This window comes from Homo sapiens, chromosome 13, assembly GCF_000001405.40.
Source record: "Homo sapiens chromosome 13, GRCh38.p14 Primary Assembly".
Lineage (NCBI taxonomy): Eukaryota > Metazoa > Chordata > Mammalia > Primates > Hominidae > Homo > Homo sapiens.
In genome coordinates, this window is record NC_000013.11 from 69,692,231 (window position 1) to 69,713,534 (window position 21,304).

The 21,304-nt window shown below is 31.5% G+C and overlaps 1 protein-coding gene across 4 annotated transcripts in view; it reads right to left on the bottom strand.

The window, feature by feature from the left end:
* Positions 1–8,366: 8,366 nt before the first annotated feature.
* The window catches only part of KLHL1 (kelch like family member 1), a 407,856-nt gene continuing 394,918 nt past the window's right edge, over positions 8,367–21,304 (bottom strand). For all 4 annotated transcript variants that reach the window (NM_001286725.2, NM_020866.3, XM_017020678.3 and 1 more), the window contains 2 exons: positions 15,395–15,566; positions 8,367–9,531 (listed from right to left, as the gene is read on the bottom strand). In NM_001286725.2, coding sequence (NP_001273654.1) covers positions 9,472–9,531; positions 15,395–15,566 — 232 coding nt within the window. In that variant the 3' untranslated portion in view covers positions 8,367–9,471. The remainder of the gene's footprint in view (positions 9,532–15,394; positions 15,567–21,304) is intronic.

The following is a 21,304-nucleotide window of genomic DNA, read 5'->3' on the forward strand; positions in this document are numbered from 1 at the left end:
ATCAAAAAGTTATTGTCAGAGACTTCTTTGGCTTATTGACTTCTGCACCCTTAGGACTAATTCAATGAAAGGAGAAACTTAAATCCAAAATGTCCTTAAAGGCATAAACCCTCTGAAAATTCGCAAAAATTTCAAGGAAGATATGGTAACATCTAGATTGGGCTGGGTTGGTGTGATCTGGGTCTTGCAAAACAATGTTTTTCAGTAGATAGATGATAGGTAGGTAGACAGATAAAATCAGCTTATCCCATATAAATTGATAGAACTTTGAGGTCAAGTAGAAACTTAGCATATATTAAAGAGGCCACATATTGGCATATATTAAAGAGGGAGTGAGTAAATAGCATCAAAGAGACAATGATGCAGGGAGTCTCCACTGAAATGGCAGTGACAGAATCTACCTATAATGCAGTAGGGGTAAGGTCGTAGAAACTAAGGTGGAGAAAAGGGATTAAGGAAGTTCAGAGATCTAAGAAATGTTGCTGTCATTATCTGTAGGATAAAATCCAAAGCAGTCTCCTGAGATAAAACATAGGCATATGAAATTAATTTGTTAATAAAGATGGAATGGTCTTTTTAAAGGTATTTAACACTTAGGGATTAATTTCTTACTGGGAAAGTTTTATAATTTATGTCACAATTAATAAACAATAAGTGTAACTTTCTCAATGTACAATTGCCATCACAGGTTACCTGTCTTGTAATTGAGTAAAGCTTTATCTATTATTTTTGTTAGTAAACTTTATATTTTTACAGTTAGTGAGATTAAATGTTTTATATTTTGGACACTATTATTTTAAAAAGTCTGTTTACATAATTTGCCTACTTATAAATAGATTTTAGTTTTGTTTCCTTTTCAAATTTCAGGGCAAATGTTATCTACTACTGAGTTAAATTTTAAGGGGGCATCACCTTTCTTAAATAAAAACTCCTAAATTTAACAGATAAGGAAATCAAGGCTTGTAGGTTCTTATAAATTTTGCAATTAGGCACTAAGCTTGTATTTAAACTAAGTCTGAATAAGGAGATTAATACGATAATAAATTCAAACCCAAGTAATATGTTCTATTGTCATCTAGCCTCATTATATATAAAGAATCACGACTCTTTTTTTAATAAACGTCTTTTTGTCAGTTTCTTATTTGCCTATTTTTGGAAATTTATATTTTTGTGCAGTACAGTTTGTTGAGTTTTCCTTTGTGATTTCTAAAATACACTTTTCCTTTTCTTATTAGTACAAGTTATGTTCTTATATTCACATTTTAATTCCTTTGGAAGATTTAAGAGTTTATTCCAACAAAACTTACTTTTCTCTCCATATTTGTGATATCACATTGACAGTATACTAAATATATGCATCCTGTTTTCATTGATCCTTTGCATGTAATTTTTATACAGTAATTGCTGATGAATTTGCATAGACCACTTATACTTTTTTGTATCCTTTATTAAAATTTTATTTTTTATTTTATTGTTTAAATGTGCCATAAAAGCTCAGGATAAAAAAATATATTTTTTAAGCTACAAGGATGGTGTACTCTTAAAATTGAAGCTATTTATTTGTCGTTTGAAATCTCATATGTATTTTTAAATCTAGTTAATTTGTCAAAGACATATTGACTCAGCCATTTAGTCTGCACAACTTTCTCAGGATACTATTTTGTGGAATGGAAACACAACTACTAGGAAGGCAGATAGGCTGCCTGTCAAAAGTTTTATATTCCCTGGGCACAATGAAAAGATAAACAAAACCAAAGATTTGTAATAATCATTACAAGGTAGTTGAGTTGTTTTTTCTGTTTTGTATTGTTTAAATGTTCTTATATTAATATTATAATTACATTTGTTTATGAGATAATTTCACTTGATAGCCCAGATTTTTATTTATTGTTTTGTTTTACTTCTGGGGTTGTTCTTGGAAACTATGTATATTTCTCTATGGCTTACGATACAATTTAAGAATTGTTTTCATTAGTAATGTATTCAATTGAGTTTAAATACTAATTATGCATTATTCTCTTTAGACTTCAGAGAATAAGTGCAGAGGAAAAACCAGGGTAGTGAGAATGAAGCAATGAAATTTTCATTAGCATGTTCGAAAAGTATTATGAAGGTTCTGAACATTTTGTGGATGTATCAGTCTGCTGGGCCTGCTGTAACAAAATATCACAGGCTGGGCGGCTTAAACAACAGAAATTTATTTCCCACAGTTCTGGAGGCTGGATATCCAAGATCAAGGTCCTGCAGGGTTGAATTTCTGGTGAGGGTTCTCTTCCTGCCTTGTAGATGTCCACTTTGTCTTCACATGGCCTTTCTTCTTAGTGCATGCCAGCAGAGAGAAAGGAAACAAGCCCTCTGGTGTCTCTTCTAAAAATGACTCTAATTCCATTAGGTTAGGGCCTTTAGTTATGATCTCTTTTAATAAAAATTATGTCCTTATAGTGCCCAGCTCCAAATGCAGCCATGGTGACATTTAAGGCTTCAACATATGAATTTGGAAAGACATGAACATTCAATTCATAACAGTGGTATAGGACCTAAATTTGGGGAGAACTTTCCTAATGATTAAGGCAAAAATAAAATATTATTATTTGCATAATTCACAATAATCCTAAAAATATAACAGTGACTTAGTCAAACTAAAACTATTCCATATACTGTAGCCATTGAACTGTCATTTATGACCACAGCATTTGATACAATGAAGTAATGCTGAAATCAGAATTAGCCAGAAATGCTTTTAGAATACACATTTCAAATTCTCAATTTGTTTTCCAGAGTAATCTCATTAAAAGTATATGCATAGGCTGGGCACGGTGGCTCACGCCTGTAATCTCAGCACTTTAGGAGGCCAAGGCGGGCAGATCATGAGGTCAGGAGATAGAGACCATCCTGGCTAACATGGTGAAACCCCGTCTCTACTAAAAATACAAAAACAAAATTAGCTGGGTGTGGCGGCAGGCGCCTGTAATCCCAGCTACTAGGGAGGCTGAGGCAGGAGAATGGCGTGAACCTGGGAGGCAGAGCTTGCACTGAGCTGAGATCTCACCACTGCACTCCAGCCTGGGTGACAGAGCGAGACTCTGTCTCAAAAAAAAAAAAAAAAAGTATATGCATAGTGCCTGAATTAATTAAATGTTTGTGTTCAAAGTATAATAAAGTCTACCATGGATTGCCTTTAAAAAATTGTCAATTGACTTTTGTAGATGATAGGACTTATTATCTATTATCCATTAATAAGCATTTCAAAATTAAACTGTATTTTTTATATCAAACACAATTCTTAATTTTTGAACTCTGGGTAAATGAAGAGAGGAAGAAGAGTGACTTATAATTATTTACATATATAGTTTTCTTTTGAAACTATCTTTAATGTATTTATAAATAAAATACCTTTTTATTTAGAATACTATCAGAATAGTTAAAACTAGATTTTTTTTTTTTTACATGTATTCATGAAAAACACAGGCACACACACTGGGATCAGAGATTTACTAAGGTGGGAAATCATGTTCACACATATAACTTTATATAAGCTATTAAAAGACAATAGCTTTCACATTCTATATCTATAGTTCTTTATAAAACGTTAATTTAATTACTGGCACATTAATTAAATTAACATCTTGTAGTACTGAAATTTCAGTATTGGCACACCCACTAACTCTTAGTTAACTAAAGTATTTGATTACATATATTTCACATTCCTCACTAACAATGTAAGTTAAACAATACATGAGAGACAGAGAGGGGAATATGATAAATGTCATTATTAATTATATTATGTCAATTTTGATGAAATTCCTTTAAATTTATCAGGAAGTAAAATAGTGAATTCCACACTGATACATCACATTGGTTTTTAAAACATTTACAATTAATGTATTAAAAATGTTGTTAAATTTTAGTTTAGTTTATTTTGTCCTAGAAAAACACTTCATAATGGCTCTGAATTCATTATTCAAACTACTCCTCATAGTCTCCATATGATAAATTTGATATACACAATTACTGCATGCAATATAAGCAGAATTTGGCTAATATAATCTGTATACAAAAAATGATTGAATATAGCAAATTAGTTTGGAGAAATTCTCAGGAAAATAAAACCATTTATAAAAATGTTAATGTTAACTTTTTGAATATGACCACTACAAAATTTTACTGTTTTTTTTTAAACAGACATAGATCAACTTATCTTTTCCTCTATTCTTTAAAATTTGAAAATTAATTTATCCATTTCAGAGTGCTAATATTATCTATATGCTCTGTCTGTTGGAGAAAATATGTGAGTAGAATAGATAGTGTACACTGGGAGGAGAGTGCAAAGGGATGCAAGCCGATGCTGTCAGAACCAACCAGAAGAGGCCAAGATCCTATAAAATATAATGTACTAAAACAAAGGTGCACTTAATTATGGCTACGTGATACCAGTCGGTGTACTGCATATCTGTAATCATAAAAAAATGCAACATATTTTAATTGATATAAATTTACTATTTTTTATCACTGTTAACTAGATGTTTTAATTACAAGTTGAATAGATGAGAAAAGTAGACTCTTTAAAATAAATAGGAATTTTAAGATTTAAATTTTTTAAATGTCTACAATACTAAAACGTTATCAGTACTGTTCTGATCACATGACAGTTTGTAGAATATAATGATATACATAAATTTACTTAGTTGATTGTTTATTCTATAAAATGTTATCTTTTAAATTTCTTTATTTAAAAAATATTTTAAGTTTTTAAATAATGATTTTTAATGCCTGTAATAGTTAAATGACATCAGTACTATTTTGAACACGTTATTGTAGAGTATCAATGGAATGAATAAATTTATTCAGTTGCTTTGTTCATCTTATAAAATGTTATAAAATTTTTATTTCATTTATAATGTTTCCATATTTTCAGGTGAAAACTAAGTTATCACCTTTTATCTAAATTTTAAATTAAAAGAAATGTTTTAATTTCATTTTGAAAAGTTTTTGATAGTTTAGTTTTTTGTTTGTTTTTGATGGATAATTGTTAATAGTTTACACTATTCATTAAATCATATCATTATATTAGCCATCTCTAAAACTATATCTGAGTATAGGGAGAAAAATTTACAAAATAAAGATGGGAAATCAGTAAGGTAAAATTAGATTTTTCACAATTACATTGAGCTTAGGAAAAATATTATGTCATAAATATAGGTCTTAAAATACACAAATCATATACTATATTTAAATTAAGAACTCATGAGTACAATCTTCATTTAGGATGCACCAAGTAATACTAACACACGAGAATGTATGTCCCTTCTATGCTGATTTTGCTGAGGGTTTTAATCATAAAGGGATGCTGAATTGTTTCAAAAGCTTTTTCTGCATCTATTGAGATGATTATGTGATTTTTTGTTTTTAATTCTGTTTATGTGGTGTATCATATTTATTGACTTGCAAATGCAGCAAAAACTATGATAAATAGGTGGGACTTAATTAAACTAAAAAGTTTATGCACAGCTAAAGAAACAAGGAGCGGAGTAAACAGACAACTCACAGAAGGGGAGAAAATCTTCACAATCTATACATCTGACAATGGACTAAAATCCAGAATCTACAAGGAACTCAAACAAATTAGCAAGAAAAAAATGAATGATCCCATCAAAAAATGGGTAAAGGACATGAATAGACAGTCTCAAAAGGACATATACAAATGGCCAACAAACATGAAAAAATGCTCAACATCACTAATGATCAGGGAAATGCAAATCAAAACTACCTTACTCCTGAAAGAATGGCCATAATAAAAAAACTAAAAATGATGATAGAAAAAAAATTAATAAAAACTGATTTTTTGGCCGGGCGCGGTGGCTCACGCCTGTAATCCCAGCACTTTGGGAGGCCGAGGCGGGTGGATCATGAGGTCAGGAGATCGAGACCATCCTGGCTAACAAGGTGAAACCCCGTCTCTACTAAAAATACAAAAAAAATTAGCCGGGTGTGGTGGCGGGCGCCTGTAGTCCCAGCTACTCGGGAGGCTGAGGCAGGAGAATGGCGTGAACCCGGGAAGCGGAGCTTGCAGTGAGCCGAGATTGCGCCACTGCAGTCCGCAGTCCCGCCTGGGCGACAGAGCGAGACTCTGTCTCAAAAAAAAAAAAAAAACAAAAAAAAACCTGATTTTTTATTAATAATAAAAAAATTAAAAAATAATAGATGTTGGCAGGGATACTGTAAAAAGGGAACACTTTTACACTGCTGGTAGGAATTTCAACTAGTACAACTACTATGGAGAACAGTGTGGATATTTCTTAAAGAACTAAAAGTAGAACTACTATTTGATCCGGCAATCTCAGTACTGGGTATTTACTCAGAGGAAAAGAAGTCATTATACAAAAAAGATACTTGCACACATGTTTATAGCAGCACAATTAGCAATTGCAAAAATATGAAACCAGCCCAAATGCTCATCCATCAATTAGTGGATAAAAAATTGTGAGATATATATATATATATATATATATATATATATATATATATATATCATATATAGTATTCCATTGCATGTGTGTGTGTGTATGTATAATGGAATGTGTGTATATATATACACACATACACAATGGAATACTATATATGAGATATATATATATATATATATATATATACACAAACACACATACACACACACAATGGAATACTATTCAGCCATAAAAAGGAATGAAATAATATCATTTGCAGCAATCTGGATGGAATTGGAGACCATTATTATTCTAAAAGTGAAGTAATTCGTTAATGGGAAACCAAATATTGTGTGTTCTCACTCATAAGTGGGAGTTAAGCTATGAGGATACAAAGGCATATGAATGATACAATGGACTTTGGGGACTTGGGAAAAAGGATGGGAGGTGGGTGAGGGATAAAAGACTACAAATTGGGTACAGTGTATACCACTCCGGTGATGAGTGCACCAAAATCTAACAAATCACCACTAAAGAGCTTACCCATTAACCAAACACCACCTGTTCCCCTAAAGCCTAGGAAAATAAAATAGAAGAATAAAAAGAAAGAAATAAATAAAAAACTAAAAAATGGGCAAAGGACTTGAATAGACATTTCTCTAAAGATTATATAAAAATAGCCAGCAAGCAATGATTGGGGAAATGCAAATTAAAATCACAAGGCAATAGCTATCATCTTATGCCCATTATGAAGACTACTTCCAGAAAAGAAAAAAATATGTTGACAAGGATATTCTGCACACAGTTGGTGGGCATGCTAAATGGTGTGGCCCCTATGGAAAACAATATGGTGCTTCCTAAGAAAAAAACCAAAAACAATTTCAATTACCACATGACCCAGCAATTCCACTTTTGTTATATATGGTTAAAAGGATTAAAAGCAGCATCTTGAAGAGATATTTGCACATCAATATTTGTAGCAGCATTATTCACAAAAGAAGTGAAAACAACCAGTGTCCATGCGTAGATGAATGGATTAAAAAATATTGCATACACAGCCAATACAATTTTGCTCAGCCTTAAAACAGGACATTCTGTCATATACTACAACATAGATTAACTTGGAGGCATTATGTGAAGTAAAATATAGTAGTTACAAAAATTACTGTATAATTCCAGTTACATATCGCCTCTACAGTAATCAAATTCGTAGAAACAAAAAGTAGAATGTGGTTGCCAGGGGCTGGAGGGAGAGGAAGAAAGGGACTTGTTGAATGAGTATAGAGGTTCAGTTTTGCAAATCAGTTGGCTGCACAACAATGTGAATATGCTTAACACTACTGAATGTACACTTGGAAATACCTGAAGATTGTAAATTTGATGTTGCACGTTTTTCACCAGAATGTAAAAATAATCATTGATATTACCCTATTATTTTTTAGCTATAATGGCATCATTTTCTGAAATAAACTGTGTCTAATACATTTGACCATGTGTTCATTTTGAGAAAATTCAAATTTCCTAATGTTTCCTTGAGACAAACTGTTTCTTAATATTTTCCTTGGTTGTTAGATTTCAAATATTTTTGGCTACCTAACAATAAAAGTCAATTCCATAGTTTTCATTGTTTTTTTAATAAAAGAAGGTTTTCTTGCCTCTTCTAGCTGCTACAGTAGTCTCAGCACTCTTATTAAGCAATGTGTGTTTTCTGGGCACCAATGATAACTGTCTCAAGTGGGTGAATACAGAAGAAACAATAATTAAAATTACATTTGGTGTCAGCATAGTATTATGTTTTTATGGAGATACATACTTCTTTAAATTTGAAAATCAGACAATATAATTGCCTGTCTCTGCAAGTATATACCTTGTTGACTTTATCCTTACATTCGATTTAAAATTTATTAAAAATACACTGATAAATGCAAATTTTTTGATCATTTATTAATTGTAATTAAAATTTACATGGGCCTATTTATTAAGGACATTGTGTAATGTTTCCACTTTGTTTTAAACAATTACAAACATGTGGCTTAAAATAATGTACAGATCAATGTAACAAGTTTGAAAAATGGGCGATGAGAATATGAAGTCTGCCTTCTTTCTAGCAATAATCATAAACACTCCAACTTAATGGATCATATGTTTTTCTTTTGAAATTCTAAGTTTGTTTAAGAACAAAATTCTAAAGGAGTTCAACATGCAATGGATATATATATCATTCAGAATCACTAGCTTCCATGCTTACACTGAACTCAACATAAGGCAAAAGCCCAATAATTACACTGCATCTTTGGCTCAGTGTGTTAAAAAAGCAAAGCAAAATGGTAAGCCTAGTGAAAACAATCCTTTGTGTTTGCCAGTTTCAGATTGCCAATATGGTTGCAATAAAATTCAACCATTATCTCTGATGAGATATGCAGCTTTGATTAGTAGGACAGTTTGTTTTCTGAATGCAAGATACAAGCATGAATCTGTTTCTCTAATTGTTCTCATAGCTTAGGAAAATGAGGCAGAAGCAGGTTTGTTTGAATAAAGCATAATTCTGCTTCCCGTTATGACCACATATGATTAGAAAAACAGTAAACCAATCAGATACTGTCAGATGAAATATTCTGTCTTCTACTCTTGGCAATCTCTTGGATATTGCCATAGACTATAAAATGATTGAATGAGTTGTGGTCATGAAACTATCCATGTCACAAATATTGGTCTCTCCTTTCAACTGCTCAAGAAAAAACAAGCCTTTGGTAACTCTAGTTATTGTATGCTATAATACAAAACAAATTACCAATAACCATTCCCGAACTAACTAACATATGGCCAGACATTTTTCCTGTATAAGTTTAATGTTTTCTTGTTTCCTACTATTCTGTTTGATCTACTAACTCTTTCAACATCAGTAGGTAACGCTACAGAGATCCTTGTTCTTGAAGAGTTTTCATCTCTGGAAGTTCTCATTCTTGCCATTCAATATAAAAATAACCACTCCAGCAAGTAAAATCTTTCCAAGTAAAATATCAATAAGTCAAGGTTGCTTGATGACTACCACACAGGCACCTGCTCTCCCAATATTCAAGGAAGCCATCTGTTAAAAAAGATGAAACACAACTTAAGACAAGTTTTCATAGAAAAATATAAAACTTATATTTTAAAAGATTATCTACATGAAAATCATAAATAAATGTGCTTGTTTTCCCATTTTAGCCAGAAGTAGTACAGTAAAAATGAAAACACTGAAAATGGCATTTTAAAAAAGCCATGATTTGTATATTGAAAATTTTTAGGCCTACAATTTTTATGGAGTTTTAAAAACAGTAATAAAACATTTAATGATTTTTATTGAAATTAACCTGCTATAGAAAAGTTTCCATCAAAGCTCTATTCTGGAGTTTGCATGGACACATTTGTGATAATATTTCATAGTGATAGCTTGGAGTATATTTTAGATGAAATAGCTATTACACTTACTGCAATGATTTTGAAGTTATTTCCCCAGATATTGTATTGAATTTAATGTGTTATTCATTCACTCTAGACAGAGACATACAATGAAATAAATTCAATATTTTGTCATAAATAGGCCATAATTATAATTGCTATATGCTTATTAAAAATTTTCCATCTTATGACAATCACTGAAATGAGAACTGAGTATTTTTTAATAATGCTGAATATGAAAATAGTTAGAAATATATTAAAAACAATAATTTTTACAGAGTTTGTAATGAAAATTTATTCTTTGGAGACAAGCCAACATTTTGATAATTTGAGCTTTTTGATATCAATAATTTTTATTACAGTTTTCTAAGAATATCAGGGTAGACTAGAAATTACATGATATTATTTCAGAGTGAAAAGAAAGTGTATAAAATGTAAGAAATAAAATAGCTGCAGACAAAGTAGCCTCAAATCACATGCATTATCTTATTGATTGAAAAAGGACATATTCTTATGCTCTAAACATGAAAATTACCTCCATTTTCTACCAGTTATTTTGAATGTATTTATTGTTACCCATCATCCACTGTAGGTTAAAAAAATCCACATGCTATTTATTTTTTATTCTTTTAATGGATTATTTGTAAAAGCTAATTTAATGTAACATCACTTGTCTTCCTCATAGAATTATTGCATAAAATGAGAGTAGGGAAGGAGCATGTGAATATATTCGTGACATATTTGTGTGAAGAATAATTTTTATAGGTCACCACTCTTATCTTCGTAATCACATCTTGTACTGTTATCTCCATGAGAGAGATGAGTGAATACAGTATCAGGAGACAATATGTTAATCCCACAGCATCAATGTATGCAAACCTAAGTTTACCTGACTCCAAAATGCATGTACTTTCCCTGGTCTTTCTTTTATTATCTGATGATTTTCATGGATTGTCTCACATCAGAGTCATTTAAGAAGCATTTACAAAATACAGTCATGCACTGCATAGCTGTATTTTCATCCTTGAGGTTCAGGTCATGGATGAACCACATATACAATGGTGGTCCCATAAGATTATAATGGAGCTGAAAAATTCCATCGTCTGGTAATGTCATAGCCCTCTTAACATGAAAGCACAACGCATTACTCAAATGTCTGTGGTGAAACTGGTGTAAACAAACCTGTTGTACCGCTTTTTTGAAAATGGAAAAAAGCTCATAGAATAAGGATATAAAGAAAAAAAATTATACAGCTGGACAATGTGTTTGTGCTTTAATGTAACTATTACTATAAAAGAGTCAAAAAGTTTTTAAAAATTTAAGAGTTTAAAAAGTAAAAAAAAAAATTACAGTAAGCTAAGGTTAATTTATTATTAAAGAAAGAAAAATATTTTAAAATAAGTTTAGTGTAGCCTAAGTGTAGAGAGTTTTTTAAGTCTGCAGTAGCATATAGTAATGTCCAAGCCCCTCATTTTCACTCATGACTCTGTCACTGACTCACCCAGGGCAATTTCTAGTCCTGCAAGCTTCATTCAGGTTAAATAAAAGAGGTGTGTACCACTTTTTATCTTTTATACCATATTTCTACAGTACCTTTACTATGTTTAGATATGTTCGATACACAAACAAACACCATTCTGTTGCAATTACCTAGAATACTCATTACGGTAACATACTTATATAGCTTTGTAACCTAGGAGCAATAGGTTATATCATACAGCCTCAGTGTGTAGTAGGCCATACCATCTGGGTTGGTCTAAGTATACTTTGTAATACGTGCACAATGATGAAATTGCCTAAGGATGAATTTCTCAGATTGTATTTCATTTTTAAGGAACGCATGACTGTATATGTTCACAAGCCCTATCACTAAATGGAAATGGGATTATATTGGGTAATTGTATTTTTGGCAACTTTCCCAAAGGCTCCCTGATGTCCATTCAATACTCAGTACTGTGTACTGGACTACATATAGAGTGAGTAGCTTAACTTTATATCTTCATCTACATTTATACCTCTATCTCTATAGATGCATGTGTGTATGTGTGCATGTGAAAATGAATCCTTTCTGTTTTTTCAAAAAACAAAATGTGATATTCCCCTTGTGTTTCTTATGTCAGTGAATGACACCCCTCTCCATCCAGTTGTTCAAGATAGAATCCTTGACCCTTCTTTTTACCTTACTCAACTCTAAATCTGAATCAGCAAGCCCTCTAAATATCTCTCCAACAAGTTTAATTCTATCCATTTATTCAGTCTTCCACATAGCTCAGGTTACATAATGTAAACCACATCTATCTCTCAAAACTTAACAATTCTGTTTCTTGCTCAGTGAGACATACCACGTGTTCTTCCTCTGGCTCTTACCAATGATGTTCCTTAAGCCAAAGCACTCCACATATTTTCATCTGGTTAGCTATTACTCATTTGTCAGGCCTCATTCCACATATTTCCTGAAAGAAGATTTCTCTGCCCAGTGCACTTAAGTTCTATCATAGTGCTATTCTCTTACCAAATAATTAATCATGCTATTTTAAACATTTGGTATTTTTCCACATAAGTACATTTTCAATGTTTAAGAAAAGTTTTCCTTCTTTTCTCTTGGTCCAGATTTATTTAATATACATTTTTAAAAATCTGCCTTTGTTCTCCCTCCAGGGGTTGTACCTTTCAGCATGAGTAATATGATAAGCTAAAAAGGTTGGCCACAGAACCAATGAAATAAAAGTAACGCTGAATGTAGATATTTCACCAGGCTTCTCTGTAACAAAATTCTCAATATATCATTATCAATATATCTTATATATCTATTGTCTACAAATAAATGAAATGCATACACAAAAAGTACACTTAGTTGCACAATAGTTCTCAATTTATTTGAGATACATTCATATTACCTCCTACTCCCAGCCAGAAACTATACTAGTCTTTAGAGACAGGTTAATAAATGACACATTGTCTTTGATTCCTTATGACCTGTAGATGAATGCAGCATGATAGTACTATGGCAGTATACCAAGATAATACATTATTAAAGGGCAATTTTACTTAGGCTAGGAGAAATGGAATAAAGTTCTCTTTATGTCTTGAAGCACGTGCATTATTTTTTTCAAATCAAACACAAAAAATAAGCTCGGTGTTCAATGACAAAAGTCAAATTTATTTAAAACATACATAGATACACACGTGTATCTATACATATGGTGTGTGTATGCATTCTCTGTAAAACAAAAGCACAAAACTGTTAATCGATTCCTAATCTATTTCCAACTCAAGCTAAACTGAGTTTTTTTCCAAATATTCACATATTTGGATATTTTAATATAGTTTGCTTATTTAATAATCAGCCATTTGTGGCTGCTAATATTATATGGAATAACCAATTTAGTCCACTTACAGGACATATGGAGTGAAAGTGACAGGAATTTAGCAAATATGGAAAACTTTTCAAGTAGGCTAGAATCCTGAAAATTTTTAAAGGGATTTTGTGTGGGTTGGCTGCTCATCCCTTGAGAGTCTTAAAAATATAAATAATGAGAAGATACAGAAGCAAAATCTTAAAGTAACTTAACAGTTTTAAATTTAATGTTTACTGTATTAAAATAAAGTTGTTATAAAATATTTTAAATGCCACTTTGCTGTTTGTAAAATACTATATGATCCAAAAAAGTATAATAAAATACAGATGAAGGAAAATGATCTTTAGGAGTCTTTTACCTATTACTACCTACTACATATATTGTTTTGATTTCAATTTTAGAGGATGATAAGCATAATGTCTCTTTATTATAAATATGTATTCAGATATTATATTACATCATTTATATAAACATAAACTTCCTTTATTTAATGTTCTTTTAAGTGGAACATTTAAAATACACACCATTTAACTAGTACATTTCCTTAGCAAGTCAGCAATCATTAATTAATGCATGCAGGGTTTGCTTTGGAAACACTAGGGACTCAGAAAGGTACAGTCAAAATATATCCTTCGAAATTTTAGTGCAATAATGTGAAAAGCAATCATTACTTGCTTTTATTTTTTTTTTACATACAGTGCTCTCTGAATAAGAAATGCTTCTTCTCTAGCAATTAAAATGTAGAAAATAACAAGACTTAGATCTCTTGATATTTCCCCTTCTTTTCTCTACTCCTTCTTTTTACTTACTTGGCTAAATGTACCTATTTTTGGTGAAGTCAAGAGTTTTCCTTTAGAGGAGAAGAAATTCATAATGCAGATACCTTAGTCTAGCCATTAGGAATTTGGTTTTGTACTCCGAAGTTAGTCTGACTAAAAAATATTGTTGCTGAATGCATACCATCAAAACTTGCAAAATCAAGGAAATCATGTTTCATTAAAAGTAAATATCTTTAAAACAAATGTACTTTAATCAGGTGTTCAAGTTCTTTAGATAAATTGTAGTCAATTTCTTTGACCAAAATCAGATCCTTCCACCCACTGAGGCAATATGAGGAGATGTGGTTATTATTCTGCTTCAATTAAATAAAGCTTTAGAGCTGCACTGCACTCCTAGATGGAAACTATTTATTTGAACAGTATCTTACTTTTAGATTTCTGGTAAAAGCGAGAAATAATAGAAATATTGAGAGATTTGGAGAAGAATGAAAGTAAAGAGAAATCTAATATGTAAGGACACAAGTCAGAGTGTATCGATTCCCTCCATCATAAGCAAGGCCACAGTAGCTATGCAGCTAAGATGTTTTTCACTGTAATTAGTTTGCCCTGGCCTCATCTTCCCATCACACACACACACCAACACACATCCTCTAGTTATGTGATTACAATGGGAGCTGCTTCATTCTAGCATGATCCTGAGTCTCTAACTACAGTGTGTATGTAAGGCATAATGCCTCACCTAAGATAAACCAGTCATGTTACTCCAACTTCCTGGACAAAATGATTGACAAGGAGTGAGCACTCACTACATGACAGGCTATGCAAAGCCCTTTCCTGTTTATTCTTTTAATTGAACTGGGATTTTTAAAAGGTTAGTTTCTGTTTATGGCTGTGGGGATTACTACTTGGACTTTCCAGCAGCACCACCAGGTGAAAAATTCTCTCTGCAACAGATAAAAATGGACCTAATAAGCAGTAACAAAAATGAATGCCAGGAAGGTTGATTTCTGCAGCCTTTATATTGTTTCTAAAACCAAACATTATAAGTTAAGGTTTTGTGAACCAATATATTACACTTTTATTTTTTGCTTCAGGTAACTCAAATTCAGATTCTGTTTCTTGTTGTGGAAAATGAAAATCTTATTAAGTATGTATGTCACTTTTTAATATACATTTTATTGGTATTTTAGTAATAAAAGTACACAAGAATGTATAATGAACTTTTTACAAAATCAACACAATATTGGATAAAAACAATCATTTTTGGTTTAGGGTAATTAGACTAGATTACTGTTTGTATACCCCTCCTCCACAGAAAGTAAATGAAATAAATTCTTATCCTTGAAGTGAATTATGCTGATGACAATCTTACCTGTGTCCACTCATTAGTTTGTGGGTCATAGGATTCCATAGTGTTGAGGTATGTCTGTCCATCATAGCCACCAACAGCATATAATCTGTCACCAAGGAGACAGACCCCAACAGCATCTCTGGGCATACTCAAAGGAGCCACCATGGTCCAAGTGTCTGTTTTGGGATCATATCTAAAATTCAATGACAATAGTACATAACATATTCTAATCACATTCAACTTTTACTATAAAAATTTTACTTTTTACAAAGCCTGTCATGAAAAAGGAAACTACCTTTTTTTTTCTCTAAAGGCTCAATCATTTGAGCAGGTATTCTAGAATGAACATCCATTATGTCTAGCTTTCTAAACTTTAAGGTATTTTAAAAATGTATTCAGACTCATAGATGAATGCAGATTCATTCAACAAAAATAATGTCATGATGTCTTTCTACAAAAAAGTGTCAGATATATAAATAACTATTATCCACAGTAGAATTAGGGTATTTAAAACACATGTATGCAGACTCCTATGGTAATGAAGCAGAAGAAATAGTTAAAAATCTGGGAGCATTGTGGAATACTCGACAGATGAAGTTTCCTTTAAACCAGTTCTGAAAGTCTAGCCTAAATTTGCTAGGAAAAAAAAGGAAAGATTTGTGCAAAAATAACTGTAGTGTTTTGTTGTTGTTGTTGTTTTGTTTTGTTTTTTGTTTTAATGCATGGTCCGCTTTGAGGAAACAGTTAAGTAGTGTGACTAAGTTCAAGAAAGACTGAGGAAATGGTGTGCCTCAAGACGTAAGTTTTGATTAGCTTATGGGATGTTTGATTCCCTGGGTAGGAAGGTACTTTCAGTTTATTCAATAGAAAAATAGCCTTTGAAACTTGGAGAAATAATTATAACATGAACACAACTGGGTTTAGTGACATTGCTCAGGATTCACAGTGAGGGAAAGACTAGTAATTCAAGAGATCAAAGTCAGAAGACTGAACTTATTGTTATTAAATTTAAACAAAAAATTTATTTTCAAGAAAATTTGATAACCATATACTACATACAAATATTTTATATTTTGAGTAGCAAAACCCTGAAGACTCCTTTAATGAATGTACTCTGAATGAATGAAGAAACCGTACCTTTGCCTTTGGCCCACAATTGCAGGTTCAGATACAAAAACAAAAAGGGTGGTAAGAACCCAGAAGAATGAATATAAAATAAAACTGTGAGAAAGGATTTTCTGACAAACACAGCAAATAAATTCTTAGTTTGTTTTCCTGCTCCAATTTTTTTCACCCATTCAATTTTTAACTCATAGACTCCTAAAACAAATGAAGAAATAAAAATACCTATACTTTGCTGAAAATAAATAAGGTTGTTACAGAAGATCTGGAATTTATATTTCACAGAGAATATTCATATTACCCACAATGTGATGTGAATTTGCACACTGTGGTTGGGGGGTTTGTGCATTGCCAAGATGATGTGTAAAATGAGGCGCTGGTCGAATGCTAGAAAACCAGGATCACCTTGAAACACAGGCTGCCCAGCACATAAAAATTTAATTTTTAGTTGTGTAGTTAATAAACACAAAACATCACAGATAGATGCAGACATACATAGACACACACACCAACACAAGTACACAACCTATGCCATCAAAATCTCCTTTAAAAATATTTAAACCTTTTCCACAAGCATTTTGAAATATGCAAAGATTTTTAAACATCAGAAAATAAAAGATACCACAAGGGAGAAAATAGTTCAATCCAGAATGTGGAATATTTTATAAAGTAACTGACTGAATATTTAATAACCAATAGCAAAAGATAAAGAGTAAATAATTAGGAAGAAGTAACTAAGTTAAATGCGAGTTAGAAATATAACAAAATATAGTGAGTAGGCTTTACTTGGATCCTAATTCAAACAGACCAACTGTTAAAAAATGTTTGAGACATTTTGGAATATCAGTGAGAACCCAAGCATTACCTTTTAATAAGCAATTATTGAAGTTTTTATTAGCAGAATAATAACATTGAGTTACATTAAAAAATAAAGTCATTATTTTTGTTTGTTTCTGGAATAATTCAATAATGTTTTGGGTTGAAAACATGTTCAGAAATTTCTCTACAAAACTTTAGGGAAAAAAGGAAGGACAGAGAGGGCAGAAAAATGGATGAAACAATAAGAACAAATTTGTGATCGTTGTTGAAGCAGGGTAATGATTATAGGGGAGTTAATTGTATCAGTTGCTTTTTGTTTGGCAGAAAATTTTTCTAGTACAAATAACTTTAAAGTGAATAATTTATGTAGAATACAGTCTGGATTTTGTCACCATCCTGTCACACAAGCAGTTTTTCTGAATTCATATTATCCTCATTTAATTATTATTCAGCTTTATAGAATTATGTTAAATATTGTCTGCAAAGCAGACTTTATCATGTTGCAAATATATACTTTTTTATATCATGTTGCAAATATAAGTATATATATATACTTAATAGGTCATGAGAACTGAGAAAACAGCAAACGTTAGTGTGCTAAGCAATAATAAACTAATTTCCAAAGGTTTAAGTTCTTCAAGTGAAACTCAAATGTTGCAGGGGAAATTTTAAGAATACTCATTTGTCCTACATTTTGATACATATTTAAAAAATACTAACCTGCAATCAGAAATATATACATATATATTTTAAATTTTCTAAAAAGTAATTTTACAATTTTAATGCGTTTGTTGGAAAATACAAATCTTTGAATTAGATGTGCCTGTTTTCAGTAGTAGGTAACATATCTGAAATGTGTAATAACTACTTTTTAATTAATATCTGGTAATGCTAATAATATTTAAATTTACATTTTACCAGTAAAACCAAACCAAAACAAAATCTGAGTGACCTGACATAGACACACTCAGATATTTAGGAAGAGAAGAGATCACACAGATTTAAAATCTCCCAGTAGCCATTGTTCTTGTTCTCAAAATGATGACTTTAAATTGATTTTTCTATATTCAGGAACTCAGGGATTCACCTCTCAGCATGGGACATACAAAGTTATTATCCCCAAAATGAAATAAGCAATCTACAGATGTATAAGCATTGTCCAAACATTCACTAATAGTGAACTCTGTCATTTTCAGGTTATGTTTCTGAAAAACTTGAATTCTAAGCAGCCATTTTTTGCCTCTAGTTGCCAGGTTTGTTTGTTTGTTTGTTTGTTTTTTTAATAAGGTGGTGGGTGTGGGGTCTTACTGTATTTAGGCTGTCTGCCTTTCCTGCATCTTACCTTGGCCTTCCTGGTCAGAGTGTGAGCTCCGTATCAGAGACTCTATTAAGGTTTATAGCCCTCAGGCAAAAGAAGTGCCAGTATATAGCGGTTAAAATTAGCTACAAAATGAAAACGTGTTAAAGGCATACGATAGTCACAGAATAAAAGTTAATTTCTCTTTGTAAAACCAAATTGAATTTTTTAAGAAACCATTAATTTTTCAAGCATTAGTGTCATTTTCATACTTTAAGGATAATAATCGGCCTTAACATTTTTGAGGAAAATTGTTTTAAATATAAAAACATTACTTTCTTAACAAATAGAATTGAGAATGTTTCTTTTCCCAAGTTTGTACAGGAGATATTTAGATAGACAGCAATTAAACAATAAAGAAGTGATTTATAGTCCAGTAGGTTTGCCTGTAAAACAAACAAACAAAAACAAATTAAAAACCAAAGACACAAAAAAAGAAATAAATGAAGGTCCATGCTGTGAGAATGGATAGCCTGCTTCAAAAGAATGGCACATAGATTTCAAGTACATTAATCACAAAATCTATATATTAATTAATTTTAAGAAATTAGATGTGAATTGAGCAATCGAGAGTGACAATAGTGTTGGCTAAAAATAAATACTTTTATTTTTTCCTGTAAAGAAAACCAACATTTACCAGGTTTCATGACATTATCAAAAGAAATGTTCCTAGACTTTAAAAACTATTTATATTCTGAAAATATAAAACAATTAATTTCAATACAAATTATTTGTTTATAACTGCATAACGGTAATAATGTTCCTAATAAACATTTTCATTCAGATGTTTTTGTACGTATGCATTTCTAAAGGATATTAGCAATGGGATTTCTGGGTCAAAGAGAGTGTATACTTTGAAGTGTGGTAAATGTTGACAATTGGTATTACAAAGAGGCTGTGTTAATTTACACTCCACTCCTACCATCAGTGTAATGAGCATGTCAGTTGTTCTACATTCTCTCCAACATGCAGTATTATGTGTATTATGTGCTTTTTCATTTTAGACTTTCTGGTGGGTAGGTGATGGTATAATAATGTAATTTTAATTTGCATTTCCCTGACGACTAATGCCATCCAATCATTTTTTTTCCCAGTAGTCATTGCCTATTTGGATATCACCTCTTGAAGAGTTCTTGTTCAAATCTTCTGCCTAGTTTTTCTGTTCTTTTAAAAATGATATCTAGAATTTGCCTATATATTGGAAACAACACTTTTGTTGGTATATGTATTGCAAATAGTTTCCCCACTCTCCAACAACTTTTTACCCTCTAAATGGTATCTTCTGAAGACATTTTACTGTCATATTTTCTTTATAGATGATCCTATGTAGGTCCAGGTTAAGAAGTCTTTCACACCTCATTTTTTTTTTTTTAAGGCGATCTCCTGTGTTGTATTCTAACAGCTTTATTGTTTTATGGGTAATATTTAAATCTAAAATCCAGCGTGAGTTGATATTTAATGTGATATGCAATAGAGGGTAAGACTACAATTTTCCACATGAGATATCCAAATCACCCAGCCACATTTGTCATACTGGTGGCCTTTCCTCACTCCTCTTTGGTTTCTCCTTTGCCATAATCAAGATTCTTTATATGTGTGATTTTGTTTCTGAACACAAATCTATTCCATTTGTCTATTTATTTATAGTGTATTGTTACTACAATGTCTAGTTAAAATAATTTAATAATAAGCCTTTATATATAGTTTTTCAAGGTTGTCTTGGAACTTAGGACCCTTTTCACTTTTATTTAAATTTTAGGATCATATTTCCAATATACACACAACCACAATCAAACTACATGAAACAATTTTAATTTTAAAAAGACTGCATTAAATTTATAAATTTTGTTTGTTTTTTGTTTTTTTTTTTTGGGGGGGGGGTTTTGTTTGTTTGCTTATTTGTTTTTGAGACAAGGCCTCAGTATGTCACCCAGACAGTGGTGCAATCTTGGCTCACCACGACCTCTAGAGATCAAGAGATCTTGAGCACCACAATCTCTGGTGCTCAAGCAAACCTTCCACCTTAACCTCCAGAGTAGCTGGGACTACAGGCATGTGCCACCATGCCTAGCTAATTTTTTATTTTTATTATTATTGTTTTTAAATTTTAGTGAGATGAGATCTCACTATGTCACCCAGTCTGGTCACAAATTCCTGGGCTCAAGTGATCCACCTGACTTGGCTTCCCAAAGAGCTGGAATTAAAGGCATAACCCATCATGCCCAGCCCAATTAATTTTTTTATATTGACTGAGTATATAGCAATCTTATTAATTCAATCTAACAGTTTCTAGTTTGATTCATATGAAATTATTCGATATTTATCACATAATCTTGAATACTGGCATTGTTATTTATTCCTTTCCAATTGTTGGCAATTTGCTTTCTTTTTATGCCTAACACTGGCTAGGTGTTCTGTTAACATGTCTAATAAAAATGGTATTAGCCGTCATTTCTTTCTTCTCATTCTAATGAAAATCACAAAACATTTCAATATTTGACTATGAATATTTTGTAGATTCTCATTATCAAATTAACAACATTAATTTATTTTTCAAGTTTGGTGAGCATTTTTTATAATGACTAGATATTGACTTTTATCATTTTTTCACTTATTCAGATATTCATTTAATT